We start from the raw sequence: 23,477 nt of genomic DNA on the forward strand, positions 1-23,477 counted from the left end.
CTGTGATGAGTCAGAGAAAGAGGCAGGACCGACAACCAACACACCTGAGTTCCAACCCTGGCTCTGCGTCTCAAGCAGCTCTGGAACCTTGGGCAAGTCACTTAACCTTTCTGGCTCTCAGAAAAGTCATTTGGAAAATGGTGGTTCCTCAATAGGCAGCAGTAAGAATCAAATGAAATGTCAAAGTGCTTTGTAAACTTAGAAACACTGTACAAATATAAAAGGAAGGCCCTGTCACTGGAGCATTCATTATGCAAGGGCCTGAAATATGGTATGGCACAAGATGGTGAAGGTTTCATATCGCAAAAATACTCACACATTGGTCCCTACTCCAAACCTCCTTTCAATTAACACAAGCACTCCTTCTTGCCAGAAGCACAGGTCTGTACCTTCCTGATGGTCTGATACCCACAATATCTGACCTTATTTGCAAATGCTGTGCAAATATATGGCAAAATGAAATTGCAAATCTGGTAATTAATGAGGGATTTCATGAGGTCAGTGAAAGTGATGTTGGAGGCTGCATTAATTCAGGCAGCTAAGCCACTGACCAAGAAGTATGGGCAGAGGTAGCCAATTCCCAAATAATGAAAGAAAAAAAGTAAGGTTAGTGATGCTTCAAAAAAAAATGATTTTAATGTCAAAGACTTAAAAGAAGCTCTTGCAGAAAATGATAAAAATTCAAAAATACTTGAATTTTATAAAAATTATTCTTTCAGGGATTGTGCTACAAAAGTTAAATGCGAAGAATTTGGTATAGACAATCATAATTTTGTTGGAAAATTTTCACATATAAAGTTTATTGTATTCATTCTTTAAGAATTAGCTGATAGTTGATATTACAACTTAAATTTTGTTCAACATAAAATAAGCTTATTTTATAGTTTTTAGTTTTATTTTCTAGGCAAAATCATAAACAAAACATTTGTTGTGCTTGTTTGTTTATTTTTTGCTTTTGGGTTTTGTCGTTGTTTTCGCTATTTACCACAGTCTTTTTGGTCAATGTTTTAGGTGGAATCACTTCCGATGTGAAGCAGTCTCAGATAATGAGGAACTTTTATAGTTATTTAATTATTATTGCTGATTTTATTATTTCCCAGTACCCTTCAATGGAAATGGTGTTGACAGTCTCCTCAAGCCCAAGAGAGGGAAAGGAGTGAACTCCCAAGCCTTTTGGAAATGGGAAGGTACAAGAGCTGCTCTTTCAGAGAGAAAGCCAACATGGCTTGGAAACCATACAGTGAGAAATGAGCCCAATTTTCTAGGCAGGTCTGAATTTTCTAGGCAGCCCAATTTTCTTGGCATGCCAGGCCGGTGCAGTGTGTTGTGGGAGAGGAGCATGGCAGAGACTGGACTGCAGGGCCTCTGTACCTCACCGACCACAGGCTGGACTAGGCCACTCCGACTTGCCAGGCACAACGCACATCCCCGTCCTCTCCAATGGCTCCATTTCTCCCTCCCCAAAACTGAGGGGGACCAAACCTTAATCAAAAGAGTTGAAGTTTCAGAACACCCTTGATAGAACCTTCACAGAGAACACAGATGCTGTTGTCAGTGCCCTTAGAAACAATAGGGCCCACCTTACCAGCAGGTTGCTTGAGGAATTCAACATGCCAGAGTCCTTTGTACTCTGTCCCTCCAGGTGCTGGGCCACCATTCAGAGAAAATGGGCAGCTGGAAGATAAGATTGCAGGGTGCTGCTAGGCAGACCTGGGTTCAAATCATAATTCTGCCACCTTACTTGTTATGCAACCTCAGGTAAGTTACCCAAACCGTCTAAGCTTGTTTTCCCTTCTGTAAAATGGAAAAGGGTTCCCTATAGGTCTACCTCATGGAGCTTGGGGTGTGTCCTAGGTCAGATTCCTCAGAAGAAGATCCTGAGATGAGGATTCAAATGCATGGGGTTTATTTAGGACATGCTCCTGCTAAGGGAGTTGGGGAAGTGGGCAGGGACCGAATGAAACCAAGCACGATACAGCTTCCCAGCCTGAGGCCACGGGGCACTCTGGAGAATGTTATTCCTCAGAGTTTGTCCTGACTCACACAAGCGAGCTTGGCTTCCAAACTCCTGCACTGGTCGTTTATTGGCTGACGGCTAGGATGACCCAGATACTCTGGCTGGCTGGCTGCATGGTGGGCAAAGAGGCCCAAGAAGCGCTCAAACAAAATCACAGGTGTGAACCATTAGGAGCATTATTATGGTAAAAAAGACCCAAGGATCTGGGCAGAGCAGGAATGGTGTCTGCTACAGCACTGGTTAAATGACATAATGGTAAACCACTCAGCACAGTGCCTAGTGCAGAGGAGGCATGGCATGTGTGCCATGCCAGCTCTTATTGCTGCTGGAATTATTAATAATACGATTGTCATCCTTCTAGGCCCTCTGCATCAGGGAATCTGTACTATGGGCCACAGCCAAGGAGCTGGCAGTCGAAGCCTCCACGTGGGTAGATCGCACACTTTAACGGACAGCAAAGAAGGGGCACTAACATTTATTGAACACTTACTGTTCAAATGTCAGGCACTGTGCTGAGCACTTTACAAGAGCTGTCTTATCTAATCCTTATAACAGCCCCATAAGATGGAATTATTATTTTTATTGTTATAGCTAAAGAAACTCATCCAGAAAATCAAAATAAATTGCCCAAACACAGCTAAAAAGCAATAGAGCCAGGATTCAACTGCAGTCATGTCTAGGTTCTAAAGCAATATTCCTTCTGCATAAGCTTCAGAGGCTGCCTCTAAAAGATGATGTGGCAGAGCCTGCCTGTTGCCTGCCCAGCATATTCTGCACAGCAATGTGCCTAGCTCAAATAATACATACATCAGCTTCCCTTGCAATTAAGGATGGCCAATAAAAGAAAGTAAAGTCATCTGGTGGGGCTCCTTTAAATAAAATGGATTCCATCAGGAGGCATTCTTTTTGTTCTTCCCCATCCTTCTCCTGCTTAGAAGACAGATGTGATGGCTGGTGCACCAAAAGCCATCATGGGCCATGGAAGCTAGAAACCTATGGATGAGGTCTGAATTTATCTAAGACTTATTTATATGAGAGAAAACAAACCTTTATATTACTATTACTTAAGCCTATTATTTCTGGTTTCTGCTTCTAGCAGCTAGACCTAATCCTAACAGACACAGATCACATGATATTTATGATCTCCTTTAAGGACTTTACTATCTTGAATCAAAGTAAATTATCCACTTGCCCCTGGCCCTCTGTCCTGGAAACATGTTGATGTATCTCCATGCTACAAAATTGAACCCATAACGTCCCAACGTGTTGCTTTATAAACATCAACAGATAATAACAATAATAAACTATGAGTGGTCTGGGCTTTCAGAATTTCCAGGGCAGGTATGATTTCTTACCTTTTGAAACTGAAGAAACTGGGACACATGCTGAGAGACAAAGCCCTGATCTGACAGTGTTCTCTGAGACCCCGGAATCACTACGACTGGCACTTTGACATCCATGCCTCCCCACACATTCCTCAAAGGAGCTGCGCCTGCCTTCTCATCTGGGAAGCAATGGCATTTTGCCCTGTATCTTGTAGCCCTTTAAGTGTCCCACTATTCGGTGACTTGTTTTTCTAACTGCAGTCCCAGGAAACAGTGCATGACTGAAAGCCTGACAAGGACTTCAATCTATTTCTTGCCACTTGCAGGAAGAGTTGATGAGAAGCTTCAATCGATAGCAGAATCTCCCAGTCTGGAGCACAGCAGAGGACTTACATAGCCAGGGATGGTTTGTCAAAGCAAATTTCACATGCAACTGATTCCATCACCCTGGGACTCTGGCGGAATAAATAATCACCATACACATTTTGTTAGCTATGCCTCGTTAGAGATGGATTTTAGGAAGTGGCATCCTGAAGGCTGCTTATCTGTCAGTGCTCCTTTAAGCATGGTAAGCTTTCCAGATTGGCTTTTCTAGAAAATTAGACCATTGCCATGGCCAGGTGCCACCTGTCATGGTTACTGGCATTGTGGGAGCCAAAGGGAGGGATATAAAGGCCTGAGCTCACCTTCAGAAAAAGTGCTGGCAGAATGCTGGGAAGACATTTCCTTGCAGAGTGAAAACTTGATCAGATCTCTTGCCAAGAAGGCTCTTGACTTGAGCATCAAAGAATTCCAGCTTCAAGTCACAGTGTATTTCTACAACTGTCTCCCACATCTCTCTTACCACACTTATTCTATCTTGAGTTGGATCCCACTGAATGGAATGTTGGATGGACCATCCCTATGATTCTGCCCGGTTTTCTGTGTTTCTATGATTACAAGGGATGTGGCCTGGCCACCATGGATGTTCCAATTGCATGTGATGTTCCAATTGCATTGAATTTGCGTACCAAGTGTATTGTGTACCAGGTGCTGTATTTTGTCTGGGAAATAGAGGGCTCAGTGACCAGTCCCTGTCCTTGAGTGGTGGGACCCTAGGGACAACAGGGCCCCTAACAACATCCATTCACACAAAGGTCCCAGGGTGTGGTTTGGGGATTTTATTTTTAATCTAATTTGGCACCTAGCATATCATGGAGCCACAATCTGCATTCTTAATTTTAAAGCCTATATCTCTTTTATCTCTGTGTACTCCTTAACATTTTTTCTGCTCTAATTCTTATATCTTATACAGTCTTGTTTCCGAGGCCACACAAGCCTCAAGAAAAATAAAGCTCTGGGACTAATTAATAAGGTTGCTGACTCTGGACTCCACCCAATTTTGTTAACAGGCTAACTACCCCTTACCTCACATTCATGTCACATGCCCCACATCTACTTTGTGTCACACGGACACCTCTGTAGGCCCTAAACCACTCCTATATCATGTCAACCATATTTAAATATGCCCATAGCCTTCATTTAGAGACACATAGGCAGAAGAAGAGAGTTACAGAGTTCTATACATACTTATCTATATTATATATTATTCTACATTGTTTTGCTATAAATTTTTTGAAAGGATGTTCAATTTTCATACAATTGAGTTTGTGAAGAATAAATTATTTTATTTTTATGATCCAAGCATTTCATATTTACCTATAGCTATATGAGACCTATACATAATCCATTATTACATGAATGGCCTAATGTTACATTTTGAAAACACCTAATTATTCATTTATTAATTTTGGCTTTGAAATTTTCTTTATGTATTAATAGTTAATAAATATTTTTACAATACCTGAAAAATTTATAGGCATCTGATATGTTGACCTACGAATAAACAACTCTGTTCTTCTCCCTCTACTCCCAGCATTACCTCAGTCAATCCCAAATTCCCTTTGTAATGGATCCCAAAAACTTCCTGCTCCCATATCCTTGCAACTAGCTAGATATTGCTCCTGGGTTCCTATTTCTGTTGCACTGGGTTCAGTGGTTACTTGAGATGACCACACCCCCAGTGAGCTCTTTATTCTCTTAAGGAGTAAGGCTCCCTCTTACGGAGTTTCTATCAAGTTTCCTAACCATTAGGCCACAAGATTACTCTTGTGGCTTCTCCATGTGCCATTTTACCCCCTGCCATAGAACATGTGTCTCAAAAGGGACACCAGGACCTAACTCTCCCCTACACTGGGATGAATTCCTGACCCCCACAGGACAGCCTTCACCTCCTTACCTTGCATCATAAGTCAAGCCCAGCATCTCGTGGTCTGACTCCAAATACCAATGCACTTATTCTCCAAAGAGTCTGGAATCTTACAAATCTGTCTTGGCATCCCAGAGTGACCCCATACTCACCTTCTGATAACACTTTACACCCTCCAAAGAATCTTTATGCAAGATAAAAGATGTTTGACTCAGAAAGATGTTCTCTCCTAAGGATATTTTGACTCCTAAGAATAATACCATTAAAACCAAAATTATGTCATAATGAATACATTTTTGTACTGAAAGGATTTTCTGGAAAAAACTCCATTAAGTCCATTTGACTCCTTGATCAACCTTCTTAAAATAGCCTAGTTAAATCCTCTTTAATTTTTCCCATTTTCATTCATATTTTATTTCACAGAAGTTATTTGATTGGGATTAATTTTTTCCTGTGTCAGTTTTATATAAAGCTTTGATGCATTACTCAATTGGTTTATTTATATCAAATATTATGGTTGTAACTTTTGCCCTTGAAAACTTACTATATAGACATTGTTCTACAAAGTTCAATATTCCCAAGTCAGACTGCACAGATTAGATTTTAACTACTAAAGGCTTTAAATTCTGTTGATCATTTCTACCAGTGATATTCACTATATAAAAAAGCTGAGAATGGTGTCTCTTTCACAGCAAAGCTACACACTCATGTCCTTAGTTAGATCTTCCAGAGTAGGCCTTTCATTTATGGCTGGATTGTAGTACAGCGAGTGAATAAGGCATGAGCTCTGGAATTGAACTGTCTGGGTTAACTTGGGCAAATATTTAATTTCTCAGTTTTCCCATTTGTGAACTGGGGTCAATATTAGTACCTAAACCACAGGGTTCTTGTGAGGATTAAAGCAGAATTCACACAAAGTGCTTCACATAGTACATTGCATGCAGTGTAAGATGTGATAGCTCTTGTTATTACTCCAACCACCTTAAAAATTCTCTGTTATCTATTACTACAGTTAACAAACCAGCCCAAAACCTGATGGCTTAAAATAACAGCAATTTATCACTCAATAATATTTAATTGTATGGGTACAACACATTTTGCTTATCTGTTCATCAGTTAATGGACATTTAGATTGTTTTCACCTTTTGGCTATAGTGAATAGTGCTTCTATGAACATTGCATACATGTATTTGAGTGCAAAAAGAAATGAAGTAGCGATATATGCTACAACATGGATGAACACTGAAGACATTATGCTAAGTGAAGGAAGCCAGTCACAAAAGTGTCTCCATAGAGACAGGAAGCAGATGGGTGGTTGCCAGGAGTTAGAGGGGGCAGGGAATGAGAAGTGACTGCTTACTGGATACAGGGTTTGCTTTTGGAGTGATGAAAACGTTTTAGAACTAGAAAGAGGTGGTGGTTGCACAACATTATAAAGATACTAAATGCCATGAATTGCATACCTTAAAATAGTGAATTTTCTGTTATGGTGTATTTCACCTCAATTTTAAAAATCATCATAACAGCAATTTATTATTTCTCGTGACTCTGTAGGACAGCTGGGAGGCTCTGCTGGCTTCACCTAGGCTCCATTCAGCAGGAGAATTGGCTGGGAGGGCAGGTCCTCTCTTTCACCTGGTCTCTCATCCTCAAGAAGGCCAGTTGGAGCTTCAAGCAAATCCCTGTGAGCAAGCACTTACCAAGTCTCTGCTTGGGTTATGTTAGCTGATGTCACATGGACCAAAACAGGACACATGGCTAGGCCCAGAGTCAGTGTGGAAGAACACTACACAAGGGCATGGTATCAGAAAGTATGATTCATTGGGGGCCATTATTGTGATAATCTCTACAAGCATCATTCTAATCATCTACCCCAACCTGACTTGGTCTGAAATGACTCCTACATCCTGACTAACATGGAATAGAAAGCTTGGGCTGCATGGCTTTAGAAGAGTAAGATGCAAGTCTCAAATGTATTCAGAGTCCTCAGAATGAAAGGAAACTCAGCTTCTTTCAGCATTCCTTTTTTTCCAGAGTTCCCCCCGTATTTAAGTTCAATGTTTTTGATCAGAGACCTCTTGTTATGATGAATTTAATCTGAAACAACTGAATGAAGGGCAGTGGTGATGCAACACAATGATCATCTTCACAGTGTCCAATTGTAAGTGCTCCGGAGTCACCACCCTGACATTCCTGGGGAGTTAGTCCTATCAGAAAGGGCTGGTGGCAGCTCTATTGGGAGGGGCTCCCACAGCCAGAGCTGCCTGGTAGACAGAGTACCCACAGTGCCCTTAAAGACAACTGTTGTTTATGGAAGACACCTGCACCCACTACCTTACTTTAACCCTGCAAGCTGGTACTATCATGATCCCCATTTTGCAGATGAAGAAAGTGGTAGGACAGGAGATGCACTGCCCAAATGCCCTTTCTGGAGGGAAGGACTTGCCTCCAGCTGTCAGCTCCTTCAGAGTGTGCTTGCCATAGACAGCTGCTTTGCCCAAGGGCATCTCTTTCCTTTCCGGGTAGCCCAAATGCAACAGCTAACAGTGGCAGGGGTACAAAGACCCATGACAGGACACCTCTGAGGGCTGCGTATGCTCCACAGCTCCCAATAGGGTTTGCTGATCAACTTCTCCCTCTGTCCCATTCTACCCCCTCCCCCTACAGTTTACACATGTTGATCCATAATAAACACTCGCCACTTCCCAGTTGGTGAATCTGGGCAAGTCGCTTTGTCTTCCTGTATAAAGGGTGTGGTGGAGGCTGTCCTGCCCACTTCACAAAGTGTCAACAAGATGTAGAAATGCTGGTGAGATTAAGGCAAAATATGCTGACCCCAATATCTGCTTTTTGATCCACCAACGTGCCAATATCTTTTCTTGGATTCTCAGATACACTCACCCCTGGTTTCTTCAAATGGTTATAGCTATTGATCACTATGCGCTAGTCACTGTGGTGATAGTATTACCATGTGCTAGTCACTGTGGTGATAGTATTACTCATAAAAATGCTATGAAGTAGGCACTATCAGTAGTAGATTTGTTATTTTCTATTCCACTGTTTTTAGAGACATTTAGATCTGGTGAAATCTGTTAAGCAATTCTAGAAGTGTTGGTGTGCAATATTGGGAGTAGGACATGGGGAGAGCTGAATTGCCCTGTGCATAGAGGGGAAAGAATTTGGCAGTCTGAGAAATCTAGGAGGACAGGAGTAAAGAAAGATGAGGAAAAAGAACAGTGAATGAGATAATAAGCTGCTTGTTCAGTATCCCCAGATTGTCTGTAAGGTATATTAAGCTTGCAAAGTGCTTGCTATGAGTGGGTTTTGTGGAAATCGGGGCAGGAGCTGAGTTTTGAGTGTGGGCTGATGGAGGCAAAACAGGCTACAGCACCAATTGGTAGCTGGGACAGAGGACTCCACATGAGCATAAGCCCTATTGCTGGAGAAGGATTTGGGTTCCCCTAAACTATGGCCTATAGGTCTGAGTCCGAGGCATTGCTTTCAAAATCACACGATATTTTGTGTGACACAAGAGGTCCTGAGCCTTTATCTGGGGTAGGTATGATTATGGCCGTATTAAAGATCAAGAAACTGGCCCTCAGAAAGGTCAAGCTATTTACCCAAAGTCATCAGCAATCAGTGCTGGGGCCAAGATTCAAACCCGTATCTGTCTTGTTACAAAGCTGGCGTTCCCATGGCTACCCCAACACCATCCTTTTCGTTCCTCTGCCACCACCACCACTCTGCCCCAGGCCCACCATACTCTGCCATTCTCACACAGCCAAGCATGGTTTTCCTGCCAGGTCCCAGCACAGACCAAAAGGTGGAGCCACCAGCCCGCAAGAGACCGTCACTGGGGTTCAGAGGCAGGAGGGCCAAGAAGACAAGTGCCACGGCACCTCCTGTGGCTTCACCCTTCACCTCCACTTCTAGTCAGCCCCTTGCCCTCCCCACCTACAGCCACATGCCTCCCATGCAAGCAGGCAGAAAATCCCCCCAGAAAAGAGGCAGGTGGAAAGGGTGGCACCTTCTTCCACGACAAAGGAATCTCATGGTGGGCACCCCGGATGCACTGCAGCAGGAATCCTTTAACAATGGAACCAAGAGCAAGGGCTCCATGGTGGGCCAGACTCCCAAACAGAAGACGGAGAGCCCAGGCACTGCCAAAACCACACGCCACAAGAGGGACCACTCTCCACCACTTCCTCTCAAATAAACAGCAGCGCAGCACTGCCCAGGGCCGGGGCTACAGCACAAGGGCTGCCAAAGCTTCCATTAGGAAGCCCCTCTTTTCTGTGCTGAAAATATAGCTTTCAGAGTTTATTCTGGGTTCAGACCCCTGCGTCATCTTGGGAGCCGGTTTCAAACTGACTTTTCCTTCATTTAGATTCTCCAGGGATAAAGAACTCCCTCACTACCCACTCCCCCAGCACACAGCCTTCGCCAAATAACCGAACAAAACTCCTAATTGTTTAAAGTGGTTTTACTTTTCGTTTTGGATTTTTTTTTCTTTTTTTATTTTTTCTGTGTTATGGAAATCAGAGAACAAATCGCTCCTCTAGGTAGGGCTGGAGACTGGACTGCTCCATTGTTTACAGGTGTGTATGTGGTTGGGGTGAGACGCGGGAGGACCTCACAGTGCCCCTCCTGCACGGCAGGAAACAGGACACAAATGCCCTAGCCATGGGGCCAGCTGAGCCCCCTCAACCAGCTGAAGGGGCCTATAGCTTTCTGTAATGCTGCCTGTTGGTTCTCCAGCTAACTCCCAGCAGGAGAAGGAGGAGGGGGAGGGGGAAGGGGAGGGGAGGGGGAGGGAGAGGGGAGGGGGAGGGGAGGGGGAGGGGGAGACTTCTCTGTTGAAGGCCTCAGTCCAGAGTCCTGGGCTGCCCCTGCTGGCCCCACATTCTCTTTGAGCATCACTTTGTCACCCCATCCTCCCACAGCTGGCTGGAATACAGAGCTAGGCTTGACCACAGACAAGGGAAACGGAGGCGCTCAAAGGGCCGAGATAACTGTGCACAGTCCCCTGGGTCTCCGCCTTGGCACAGGAAAAGTCTCCCTTTTCTGGGTGGTCTCTGTTTCCTTCTGCTCTAAACCTCATCCTCAGAGCAAAGCTTTCCCTCTTCCTTTCTCCCTCTGGCCCAAGGCTGGGCACCCCCTCTGGACTCCTTTGATTGCTAAAGGAGGAAACTGTCTTTTCTGCTTGGACCCAGGCTCCCCACTTGGACTTGTGGGTGGAATTATCTGGACACCCACTTCTCCCAACCTGATTAACCCATTTATGTCCCGCCGTGAGGGCTCTCCTTTTCTCTTATCCCACATCAAAGTCTGGACACACCAAGCCCCTAAATTTTGAGCAATGCATCTAAAATTCTCATAATTCCCTTGTACCCATCTCCTCTGTCACCACAGCCCAGCCCAACCCGGAGGGAAGTGCACCGAACCACCACCACCAAGCACAGTCCATCTCTTTCTCTCACTCATGTTCTTGGAATGTGTTTGTGTGGAGCATTTCTCACTAACAATCTTTTCCCCGGTGTTATACATTCATTCTAGTTCTGTCCTGCTCTGTCCAGAGGTGAACCCTGCCATCTCTCTGAGCCTCGGACACTTCACCTATATGGCCAGTCTTACATCCATCCCTCATGTGGCACCGTCCAGGGCTGGAAGATGCCCCTGCACCTGTGTGTCCCTCTGCCACCCACATTCACAAGGCATATCTTGTCGTGGGTTATCCCCAGGGGAACAGACCCATTATGCAGAGAGTGAAAAACTCCCAAGCCTCCCTCAAGTATGAACCCTGTGGCTCCCAGGAAAATCCCATCCCTGATTCTCGAGGTGCCAGCCTGTATCACCGGACACTGTGCCTCTGCCCCTGAGGAAGCCCCTTCATCTGTCAGTAGTGGCCGTTAGCCTCACTTTTTGGACTTCCCTGCCTCACATGCCCACAGACAGCAACCACTATCTGGATTATCTGTAGCCAAGAGGCACATCAGAAATACAGAGGGAAAATACCAAAACCTTAAGAAAAGAATAATAGTAATTAAACAAGGTTTGATGCCTTGAGAGTTGAAAGCATGTGTATGTCACATTGAAGCTGCAACCAAATTTCTATCATATAAAGACTGTGCTACTGTGTAGAAAGGCAGGGTAGGGAGTTGCTGATGCTCGATGCCTGACCCTGGCCCGGATCCTCATAAATAAGTGTTTTTGGTTCCTGTCCCTCCCACTTCCTTATTAACAAGGATGACCTGGGAATGGAGTGCTTCTTCAGTGGGCATCTATTGTTTTGGCCTGCCCAGCATCCATCCCCCCTTCCTCTGGTACTAGCACCATGATTTATTTTCATTTGGAAAAAAATCATCCCTTTCCTATTGCCTGTTCCTGTAGCTCGGGTGGGGCTGACCCCTTTCCTGGCTCCAGGGCTGGGCAGTGACCCAGTTCTTAGCAATTGACTCAAGTGTTTATAATCAACTAATAAGCCAAGAGTCAACCTCAGGACTTTTTTTTTTTTTCGCTGGTACTGGCAAGGAAGAAATACTTTCATGCTTTATTAGGGTTACTGAAAGGGTAAGATTTGCAGGCCTAGAGCACCAAGACGCCATCTTGCCACAGGGAGGAAAGGGTCTGCCCCTGGATCAAGTCGTATCTGAAACCCAGACTGCTCCTGGACTTTTCAATTCTATACATAATTTGAGCCTTGTTTTTTTTTTTTTTTTATAACTTCCATCTAACTCCAAACTTTTATTCCTCTTTTACAGATTAAAAAAAAAAAACTTAGAGAAGCTAAGTAACCTTCCAGGTTCCACACGCTAGCTAGTAGCTCTGAGTTTTGATATGAACACAATCCAAACTTTTTTTTTTTTTTTTTTTTTTTTGAGATGGAGTCTCACTCTGTCACCTGGGCTGGAGTGCAGTGGCGCAATCTCGGCTCACTGTAACCTCTGCCTCCTGGGTTCAAGCAATTCTCCTGACTCAGCCTCCCAAGTAGCTGGGATTACAGGCACCTGCCACTACACCCAGCTAAATTTTTGTATTTTTAGTACAGACAGGGTTTCACTGTGTTAGCCAGGCTGGTCTCAAACTTCTGACCTCATGATTCACCCACCTCGGTCTCCCAAAGTGCTGGGATTACAGGTGTGAACCACCGCACCCGGCCTGATTCCAAGTCTTAGCTGTCATACTCTACAACCTTCCATTATATTCCTTCCCTTCACTCTATGCTCCAGACCCAACTCTAGTAAACATTTAACAGACAACCATTCTGGAACATGTGGTGTCACCATCAGGTACCCAAAGCCAGTGACTCCAGCCAGGCTTACTTGTACCACTGTCCATATCCACTGTGCTTTCTTGGTTCCAACTGGAGTTTCAGTTTGGGTTGTGAAGGCCAGGGCTTTCAAACACAGACTTCAAGCCAGCTATAAGGTGAGCATGTTCTGCAATCTGCATTTTACCATTTTTCCTTAGCCAAGAGATCCACATCATTTTCCACCAATTGCATGTTGACCCAGAAGCTACTGGAGCACTCAGGGAATGTGGACTACCTATGGATGACTGTTTGGCAGAACTGTCTCTTTTTAAGCTGGCTTGGGTCACCATGGTTCCAGCTCAACTAGGGCCGAGGAGCATTTAAAAATACCAAACAAGTTGAGGTGAGACATCAAAACCCTTACATCCAACTCCAATTAGAACAATCCCATGAAAAGAGAACCTGAGAAATGCACAGGCCATACCATGTTGGGAATGACTCTCCCTGTTTTCCCCTAGCCCGCAACCAAGAAGAGGCTGAGATAAATAAGGTAAGCTTTTCTGGGAGGATAATATAACAGAAGTCCAATAACAAAAAGAACAGCCTTCCAAATGGTGATCTTTAGCAAAGTTACTGGGCTATGGGGAAAGTTCTCCATCTGGAGGTCTAGAGCAATCACTATTTGGGGGGATTTTTGGTTTCAAATGAGGACAACTACTCCTAGCCAAATTGTTATAGAATCAACACACAATTATCAGCAAAGTACGTGCTTGTGTTTAATCCTCTCACAGGATTATTCTAGAAACTGGGGCTAGATTGAGAAGACTGTCTTTAATCAGAGGCCAAACTAAAGTTTTGGCTGCTGCTGTAGCATTTTGCATTATTCAGATGCCTCAAATGTAACTGTTGAAATAAATGTTCATGCTTAATTTGAATGCAAGGTGACACCACTTGATTTTCATGCTGCTTAGATCCACAGGGAATCCATCAAAAAAGTCAATCATACATGGTAAAACTACCAGCGCTGATACTTAAATTCATAGCTGGTTCACATCTCTTGCCGAAGCACCAAATACTTTTTCTAGGAAGCCAACAATATAGATTTAACACCTAAAAATAATTTTCTTGGCCAAAAACAGCCTCCAAATCATTGCGAAATATTAATAGATGTATTTTATTTGGAAAGAAATAACAGAAAATATAAAATTAATCCCATTGATCAAAAAGAATTTAAAGTGCTTCCACTGAATCATGAGTAAGACAAAGAAACTCACAAAATCTTCCAAGAAGAATCTACTGTATTGCCCTATGACCTCTTGGTCATATGCTGGTTTTTGTTAAATTTTTATTTCATGTTTTCATTGAACTGTTCGTATATACATATATGTATATACATATATATATACTTACACATATCTATATATTAATCTATCTATCTATCTATCTATCTACCTATTCTATCTATCTACTCTTCCCATTTAGATGAAATAGTAAGTGCAAGCCTGTATTCTACAGGTCCTTTGACCCTATGGTGCCTAACGCATGCCTGAGATCACAGAAGGTACTAAACAAGCAAGCTGTCTGAATCGATGAATAAATGTTGACTTCTCCCTTCTCCAAGGTATTCTAGCAATGGTGGTCATGGAGTCTGATGAACCCCTGGCCTTAGAATTGTGTGGTGAGTGCTTATCTAACAGCAATGTTCCTTCTTCCTTGCAGTTCCCAGGGAAACAGTCCTGGTCAGCCCAAGCCAGTCATGGCAATAACAGTCCCCTTTGCCAGCAATTTGTCTAAGGGTGAAGACTCATTTCTGGCCAAAAAGATAGAAAGCAAAGTCCATTGGGAGGCTTCAGGAAATATTTTCCTCCCCAGTAAAAGAGATAGGGTTCTAGGGGAGAAGTCCTTGTTTGCTCCCTTTCCTAACTTTCCTGTTTTAAACACTGTATTTGGGGATATGATGCCTGGAACAGAAGCAGTCATCTCAGGGACATGAGACAAGTTTGAGGACAAAAAGTCTTTGCCAAATCCAAAGATGTTGGAGGGGAAGGACTGGAAGGATGGAAAGAATCTGGAAGCTTGATAAGTGAGCAGCTAAAACAAAGCATGGGATCACCTACCTCCAGATTCCTTATTACAAAAATAGTGTCTGTCCTTATTTCTGGGCCTAAGTCAGGGTTTCTGTTACTTGCAACTGAAAGCATTCTAACTGAATCATACACCCTTGTTAAAAACAGGAGTAATTGTGTCTCCCCTCTTCTAGGTATGTTATAATTGAGAGAACAGAGGTTTGGGAGCCAAACAGACTCCAGTCAGACAGAATTCTGGCTGAGTAACCCTGAGCAAGTTCCTTAATCTTCAAAGCTTCAGTGTAATTAACTATAAAATGTAGGTAACAATGAAGACTTCATAAGCTTGCTATTGTAAAAAAATAAAATAACAACTGTATATAAGTCACTTAGGCATGCAGTAGCTGCTCAGTGTTAACTCCTTACTTTTTTACTTTCCATATAATCCCTGTGTGGAGTAGAAGGGTCAATTTTTTGTGAAGGGGAAAGCACACTCCCATGGTAATATCAAGAAACCTTGATTTTATTTTTCATCATCTTTCTTATTCCAAGACAAGACAAATGATAGGGACTGCTGTCCATGTGGGAGGCTGGAGTTCAAAGAACAGCTTCTAATCAGCAGGCCTGCCTACGTGGCCTGTACACAAACAAATCCCTCATTTAGGAGCTGTTCTTGCCTTTTGTTGAGCCTGATGCTATCTGTGACTCAGCCTGATCAAACCATCTACTTAATGCCTCTATTCAGAAAGGCCTCCACCTGCTGGGCTGCTTTGGGCCAGGAGGGTCTCTGTTTCCCACAGGCTGCCCGCAGCTGGGAGCCTTTAAAATGTGGACCCAATTACCTCAGTGGGCAGTGATCCCCAAGTGAGTGTGCATCATACCCCGGCAGCCTCAGGATGGTGTGGGTCTGAGGACAAGCAGCAGGCAGTCAAAGCTGGCTTGCTGGCCACTCTCATGGCCTTCCTGGACACACACCTAGATATGGCCCATGCACACACACACCCTTTCCACACTTTCCTCCCTGGTGATTAGGCACAGTGATCGTCACCCCCTGGAGAGCTGAGAACCTATCTATAGTCACACACTGTCCTTCCTCCTTCCTGAAGGCATGAGGACGATGTTAGCCTAACTCACAAACTCATACTGCAAACCTCCACCAGAGAGGCAGTGCACAATAATGGTTAAGAGCCTCTACCCCTAGTTCCAGGAATTACAACTTACATAACCTTGGGCAAGTCACCTAAACCCTCTTGGGCTCTTTTATCTCATCTGGAAAATGAGTATGAAAATATATTTGTTTTGATAATGTGTATAACGTGCTTAGCACTGTCCTTAGCATGTGGTACCCACTCAATAAAATGGACTCTCCCAGTCCCCTTGTATATTAGGAAGGGATCATCTCCTCCTGCCAAAGGACAACCCCAAGGCATGGCCCACCCAACCTGCCATCTTAATTGGCTCATAAGATCAACATTTGCACTAGTCCAAAATATTTGTCAGATACCTCCTATGTGTGAGCATTTGGGATCCAGCAGCAAGGATCTTTCAGAGGTTACAGTCTAAGGGAAGAAACAAACTCAGAGACAAAGTCATAGTCATGAATCATAAATCCTATCAAGGAAAAGAGGGAGCTGTGAGAAGGAGTACAAAGCGAGCAGCAGGAGTGGGAGTATCATTTTACTGAAAGTCAGATAAGACCTCTTGCTGAGAGAATGGCATGTAAGCTTATAGGGACTCAGTGTCCCTCACATAAATGCTAGAAGGATAATAAATTGTCCTCAGGCCAGAGGTGGCACTAGTAGCAAGACAGGTTCTCAAAGCACAAGATGAAGAGATCTCCTGATATGGTGGGGCCCCACAACCTTGCTTCCTTAGGGACAATCTGCCCTGTAATCATAACCTCCTCCAGAATGTGCCTGGGTTCAAATGCCTCACCTTGCACCCTCGTCCCCCTCTTAATGCCCTGAATTATCTCATAAATCATCTAGTCCCACAGCACTTGGCAAAGCAGCACCAGGCTTTGATGACCATATTTTCCACATAGTCTTGGAATTCAGGCTATTTAGTATTGAAGCTCAAAGTAATTTTCCCCTAGATTTATTCACTCTGTTCCACTCTGCAGGTTTAACCTCCTGTCCAGGTTGCTTTTCAGCGAAACCACTTTTAGAGATTGTTTTTGTTCTACCCCAATTTTCTGGAGTCATTTAAATTCAAGGGACCTCTTAGGAGATTGCAGATTATATATACATGTCTACGTATAAAGACAGAGAAAGATCCCTGGGAAAGTCATTGTCCAGAATCACACTGGCTTTGCTTTTCCTTGCTTTCAATTACAGACTCAGGTGCTGTGGAACATTACTAAAGCACAGTGTACATGGTACATTTCCAACATTTTTCATTTGCTTTCCTGCTCTCTTCCATTTCCCTACTTGATTTCCAATGTGAGAGTGATTTGGTGCCACTGTTTTTTGCCCAAAGCTTTCTGCAGGTAATAGCTTCCCTCTCCCACCCCTTTTAATCCATTTCTATTAGGTTCATGCTTCTCCTTCACTTGAAGTTATTCCCAATCTCTGCTCCTGAGCTCTTCTAACCTCTCTGTAGTTTGTCACTGATACCTTCATCAATTTCTAAGGACCATTCATTTGCATTCATTCAGTGCTTAATGAGCACCTACTATGTGTAGGCCACTGGGCTGTGGGAATACAAAAATGATTAACACATACTGTTTTATTCTTCTGTGATCTAAGGATCACATAATCTCTGGTGGGAGCAGGCAGGTAAACAGGTAAGTACAAGTCATTACATCAGTTACTGTAGATTGAAGTGTGGACAAAATATTGCAGAAATAAAGAAAAAGGGAAGGATTAATTCAGCCTTGAAAGATTAAAAATAACAGCACAGAACAAGTATATCTGAGCTGTATGTGAAAGGGCTTTCTTGCTGAGTAAACAGCTTGTGTAAATATGAGTGTTCAGAGAACCAGATATGGTTCACACTGGCTGGAGCACAGTACAGGGTGGCAAGGGGAGATAGTTAGAGACAAAGATGAGAGGAGTTTGGTATAGGTTGGTTAGGGCCAAAATACAGGTCAACTGAACAGTTGACTGTAACTTACTGTAAATATTAAATAAATAAAAATCCACACACTTGTAGTGACAGTAAAGAAATCATGCCCTTATTTGAGACCAGTGGAGGTTATTATACCGACTTCTGATGCTGAAAATTGGTGATTAAAGGGAACGTATTAAGTCTTTACACTGCCTTTTTAGGAGAAAACGTAGTTCTTTGCCAGAAGATGAGGGAAAGACCTCCCTTATACCAGAATGCCAACTAAAGTACGTAAAAAGAATGACAGGATTATAAAATCACCATTTTGCAACCAACGGTGAAATACCTGACTTGGGCAAAAACCATCAATGGCTGCTAAAACCTTGGGATGAAGTTTTGGGGAACATAATATTCTCTCAGTAACAGAGTACCATCTAGAAATTACCAGCTAACTGGAAAGGGAAAATGCATCTTTACAAAAGAGAGACATGGTGATCACCATCTTAACCAAAAGATCAAACTTTTGGCACAACCGTAGGACAACCTCTCATTGTGCACCTTCTGATGTGACATATATAAAGTACACAGCTTCACTTAGGTAGTATCTTCGGTGTTTCAACTGCATCTTTAGTTACAAAAAAAAAAGGGGATAGAGGAAAAAGTTAAAACCAAGAAGAAGCAATTGGACAAATCTAGAGTATGGGGCATCCTACAAGACAACTGCCCTAACTTCTTCAGAAAGTTAATGTCACGAGTGGGAAAATTTAAAAAGACTAAAGAGATATAACAGTCAAATGGAATGCCTGAATATTATTAAATCCTGATTGTAAAACTAACATGGTAAGATAAACTTGGAAACAATAGAGACATTTAAAGACATTTAAATATGGACTGGATACTAGATGGTATTTGGGAACCAATTTCTAGTCTTATAATGATCTTGTGATTATGTGGGAAAATATCTTTTTTTTTTTTTTTGAGACAGAGTCTCGCTCTGTCACCCAGGCTGGAGTGCAGCAGCATGATCTCAGCATACTGCAACCCCTGCCTCTCGGGTTCAAGTGATTGTCCTGCCTCAGCCTCCCAAGTAGCTGGGATTACAGGCGTCCACCACCACGCCCCGCTAGTATCCTTATTTTTAATGAGATGCACACTGAGTATTTAGGGATGAAGCATCACGCAACTAATTCAAATGGTTCAGCAAAATAAACATATATACACACACATAGACAAACTAAATATGTCTGAAAGTTCACAATCACTGAACTTAAGTTGTAGGTATACAGGTGGATTGTACTTTTCTGAATATTTGTAAGTTTTCATAATAAGGAAGTCTGGAAGAAACAAAAGGAAAGGGCACATAATGGAGGGCTTGTTATGAGCTCCTTGGGATTCTGGATCCTACTGCTGAAGGTTTTAACCAGTGCTTGACATGATCAAATTGACATTTTAGAAAGCTCATTGATGTATTGCATTTACTCAACTAGCATTTATTGATCACCCACATCCAATGTTGAGTGAACCCTGAGGTAGGTGCTGTGGGAGACATGAAAACCAAAAAGGCATCGTCTGGCCAGAAAAGCACTTACCATGCAATAGAGGAGATGAGACACAAAACACTGAGCACAAGGTAAAGCTTTCTTGTCACAAGGGGTAACTGGGAGACCTGGGGGGAAAAGGCAGATGCACGGTGCCTCCAGGTGTTAGCTGGTGTTCCACGCCCACAAAATTATCTCAGAAAGCATAAAACTACAGGTGACTGAAAATCACCTGTCAGCTCTAGCCCCTTGAACTTTCCTTATTTCTAGATGGCAGAACCATAACCCCGAGAGATACTGGAAAATGCAAGATTTCCTTGAGGTAGGGTGTAGGAACGTGACTCATTTCTGGCCCAAGGGACCTGACTTAGGTCTCCTGAAATCCACCAGGGACTACTGACAAAGATCTTCTTTCCTGATAAAAACAGAGACATGTAAGAAGGACCCCTCCTCCCCCTTTCTTCCTGCCTCTGAGTGCATGTGGGTGAGGTTGTGATGCTTGGAGCTGGGGAATTGTGAGGGGAAAGCCAAGGGAAAGAAAGAAAAGATGGCAGACTCAGATCCCTAATATCATTGAGCCGCTGAAGCCTACAACCTGACAACCTCCCATTACCAGACTTCTTCTTATAGAAGCAAAATTTCCCCCTTTCCAACGAATTTATCAGCAGTTGTTGATATATATGGCCCAAAACCGCACTCAGCCCTCATCTGCAAGCATACTGTGTCTAGAGCCAATCCTAACCTTTGAACAACGCAGTTGAAGGAAGCCTCACCCACCAATGAGTCAAGTCGGTCCTGCTCCTAGTTGTTATGACCACATGCATGCTGTAGTTCAGGATGGTAAAGAAGTTTCACATTCATATGCCAACTCAGATTGATGGGCAGCAACTGGATAATCCGCTGTGCAGAAAGTTAAATACAGGTTCTGTGCAAAGAAGTGTCTAGATTCATAGTGCCAGACATCTGCCCTGGGCCACATGCTTACCGTCCCATGGATGGATGGAACTTGGAATCAGAAGACCCAAGTTTGAGTCCTGGCTCTACTACTTTTGTGATTTTGGTCATTTAACCTCTTTGAGCCTTCTTATGGCATAGTAGTTATAATCAAGATAATATAAGTGAATGTGCTTTGTAAACCATGAAGTGTTGGTCACACAGATGATAGCTACTGTCTTATATTTGTCAAACCTCAGCTGAGGACCAGGTTGACAGGATGGAGGAAGAGGAGGAATTCAAGACTCGAGCGCTGGATGGCCAGTAGCTGGACACCTGACAGGAGGTTCTAAGGCCAGAGTTTCAGGTGAAAGTGAATGAGTAGTAGTGAGTTGTGGCCCTGAACAGTGAAATATAGTTGGAGAAGATTCCAAAAGCAGGAGTGAAGACACTAAGGGCAAATAAAGATAGAAATCATGGACTGGATAGCCTACGCTGTACTTTTTTATTGTTCTAACACCTGAGGGATATGACCCTACCCATCAGTTATAGTGGCTCCCCATGGCTGGGGACTTTTCTGAATCTTCAGAGGAGCAAGCGAATTTGCCAAATTTCCCTCCCTAGGTGGTTCTAACGTGCCTCCTTAGGGCAGTGTTTCTCTTTCCTCTGTTGCAAACCACTAAAGTAGACTAGAATGAAGAAGCCCAAAGTGCAAGAAGAAATAGACAGTCCAAAGCTGGTAGAGATCTTTGGTAAGCTCAGGGTGGCAGGACCATTTTATTTTTCTCTCCTCCCTCACCTATGGCCTAGCACAAACCTACCACATTTCCAAAAAGCCCAGGAGGTAACAGTGAAAAAATCAGAAGAGGGCTTTTTATAATAAAAGTCAAAGCTAAAAGGGGGGCCAAGGACTCTTGACTAGAATGACCCAAGAGGCCCTCCCTCTCCAGGTTATGGAAGGCCTGAGTCCCTTGTGAAGTCTGACCTAAAGGCCAAAGGTGAGGGAGGCTTCCTTTAGCCCCCTCTTCAACCCACATGGACACCTAAAGCATTCACCAGCCCCATGCAGGAAAATGGAAAAAAAGATTGACTGTCAACCCCAGGTGAAAGCTAAGAAGAGACTGAAGCCTATGGCAGGTGGGTGGCGGGGTGGAGTGCAGGTGGGGGAAGAAAAATTCAAAGTTGTATTTGTCCATAGCTGTATCTCCAATGTCTACACCAAGGACTGGTTCATATAAGAGGCAATGAGTGAATGAGCCCATGGAGAAGTAGTAAATCCCAGATTGAATGGGTTGTCCAAGGAACTGAAGAGAGGTATTTGAAAGAGGGCCTGGACAACAGAGGCTCTGCACCCACAGAGAAGCAAGTGCATAAATGAAATTGAACTGGGCAGAGAGCCCCTCCCAATTCATAATCCAAGCAGACTCTGAGTGAATCCTGAGAGGAAGATCAGGCCTGGAGATGCTGCTCTCCATCCCTTCTGCATTCCACATATCAGAAAAACTCCAAGGGTTTAAATTATGTTTAACATGCAAAATTAGGAGATTCTACATAAAGATACTGTTGATAAACTGAAGATTATTCCTACTCAAGTCAAGAGCTATATGTGAGCTGGTGCATTCTTGAACCAGACTGCCTGAATTTAAAGCCTGGCTCATTCATTACCAGCATGATCCTGAACAATTTACTCAACCTCTTTTTACCCCATTTCTTCAACCCATCCCCTCATTAAGAGATAATTATCACTTGTTATAAGGACTTAATATATTAATCCTTGTATAACGCCTGCAACAGTGCCTGGCACATGATATGCCTCAATACAATTAACTACCATAACATGTGAGGCACATATGTGTCAAAAGAATACAAGTTAAGATGTTGTGAGGGGTTAAATTGCTCCTGCCCTCACACCAAATTCATATGTGGAAGTCATAATCCCTAATACTTCATAATGTAGCTGAATTTAGAGACAGGGTCTTTAAAGGGTAATTAAAGTTAAATGAGGTCATTAGAGGGGCCCCAATTCAAGATGACTAGTATCCTTATAAGAGATTAGGATATATATACACACAGAGACACACACACACACACACACACACACACACACACACACACACACACAGAGACCATGTAAAGACAGAGAGAGAAGAAAGCTATCTATAAGCTGAGTGAGGCCCTCAGAAGAAACCAACCCTGCTGATACCTTGATCTTGAATTTCTAGCCTCCAGAACTGAGAAAATAAATTTGTTGTTTAAGCTACTCAGTCTGTGGTACTTTGTTATGGCAGCCCCAGAAAACTGATAAGATCTTCTTATGAAACAAATGTGGCCCACTTCACAAATTACCAAATTCAAATGCCCTCAGGCATCTGAATATAAACTGCTTTAAATTCATTCATTCATTCAACACTGTAGCACCTACTATGCCCTGAACACTGCATGTTTATTAAAACCCTTCGTCATATAAGCCAATTTTATTTTCTTGTCAGTAACCACCCACTTCTAATTTTGTCCATTTTCTGCTGGGCAGCTTAGTGTGCCACTTGGTTGTCTGCCACTGCTTCTCCTGATTAATGGGAAATGATCCTTGTTATGGATCTGAAATGAACAGCATCAGAGTATGTAGTTCTCAGCTCTGGCTAAACACTAGAATCACCTGGGAAGTTTTAAAAATACCTACACCCAGACCTATCCCTTACCCCATTCTGATTTAGTTGGTCTTCGTGTGGAGCTCTGGCAGTGTTTCTGTAAGCTTCCCAGACAATTCTAGTGTGCAACCAAAGTTGAGAACCACTACTTAAGTTTAAAAGGGACTTCAAGGTCACCCCCCCTTTCCACTCAAAGTACAGTTCACAGATCACCAGCACTGTCATCATCTGGAAACTCGTTAGAAATGCAGAATCTCAGGTTCCATCCCAAACTACTAAATCAGAATGCATATTTTAACACGATTCACCACACAATTCAGATGTACTCTAAAATTTAAGAAGCACTGTATTCCTACTAGAATCTAGATGATTCATAGAATCTAGATTATTCTAATGGGAGTT

The 23,477-nt window shown here is 43.2% G+C and overlaps 1 long non-coding RNA gene across 1 annotated transcript in view; it reads right to left on the minus strand.

Moving 5' to 3' along the window:
- LOC101927066 (uncharacterized) overlaps window positions 1–23,477 on the minus strand; it is a 494,634-nt gene that overhangs the window by 297,910 nt on the left and 173,247 nt on the right. The gene's annotated exons all lie outside the window — the stretch shown is intronic.

This window comes from Homo sapiens, chromosome 8 (assembly GCF_000001405.40).
Source record: "Homo sapiens chromosome 8, GRCh38.p14 Primary Assembly".
Taxonomy (NCBI): domain Eukaryota; kingdom Metazoa; phylum Chordata; class Mammalia; order Primates; family Hominidae; genus Homo; species Homo sapiens.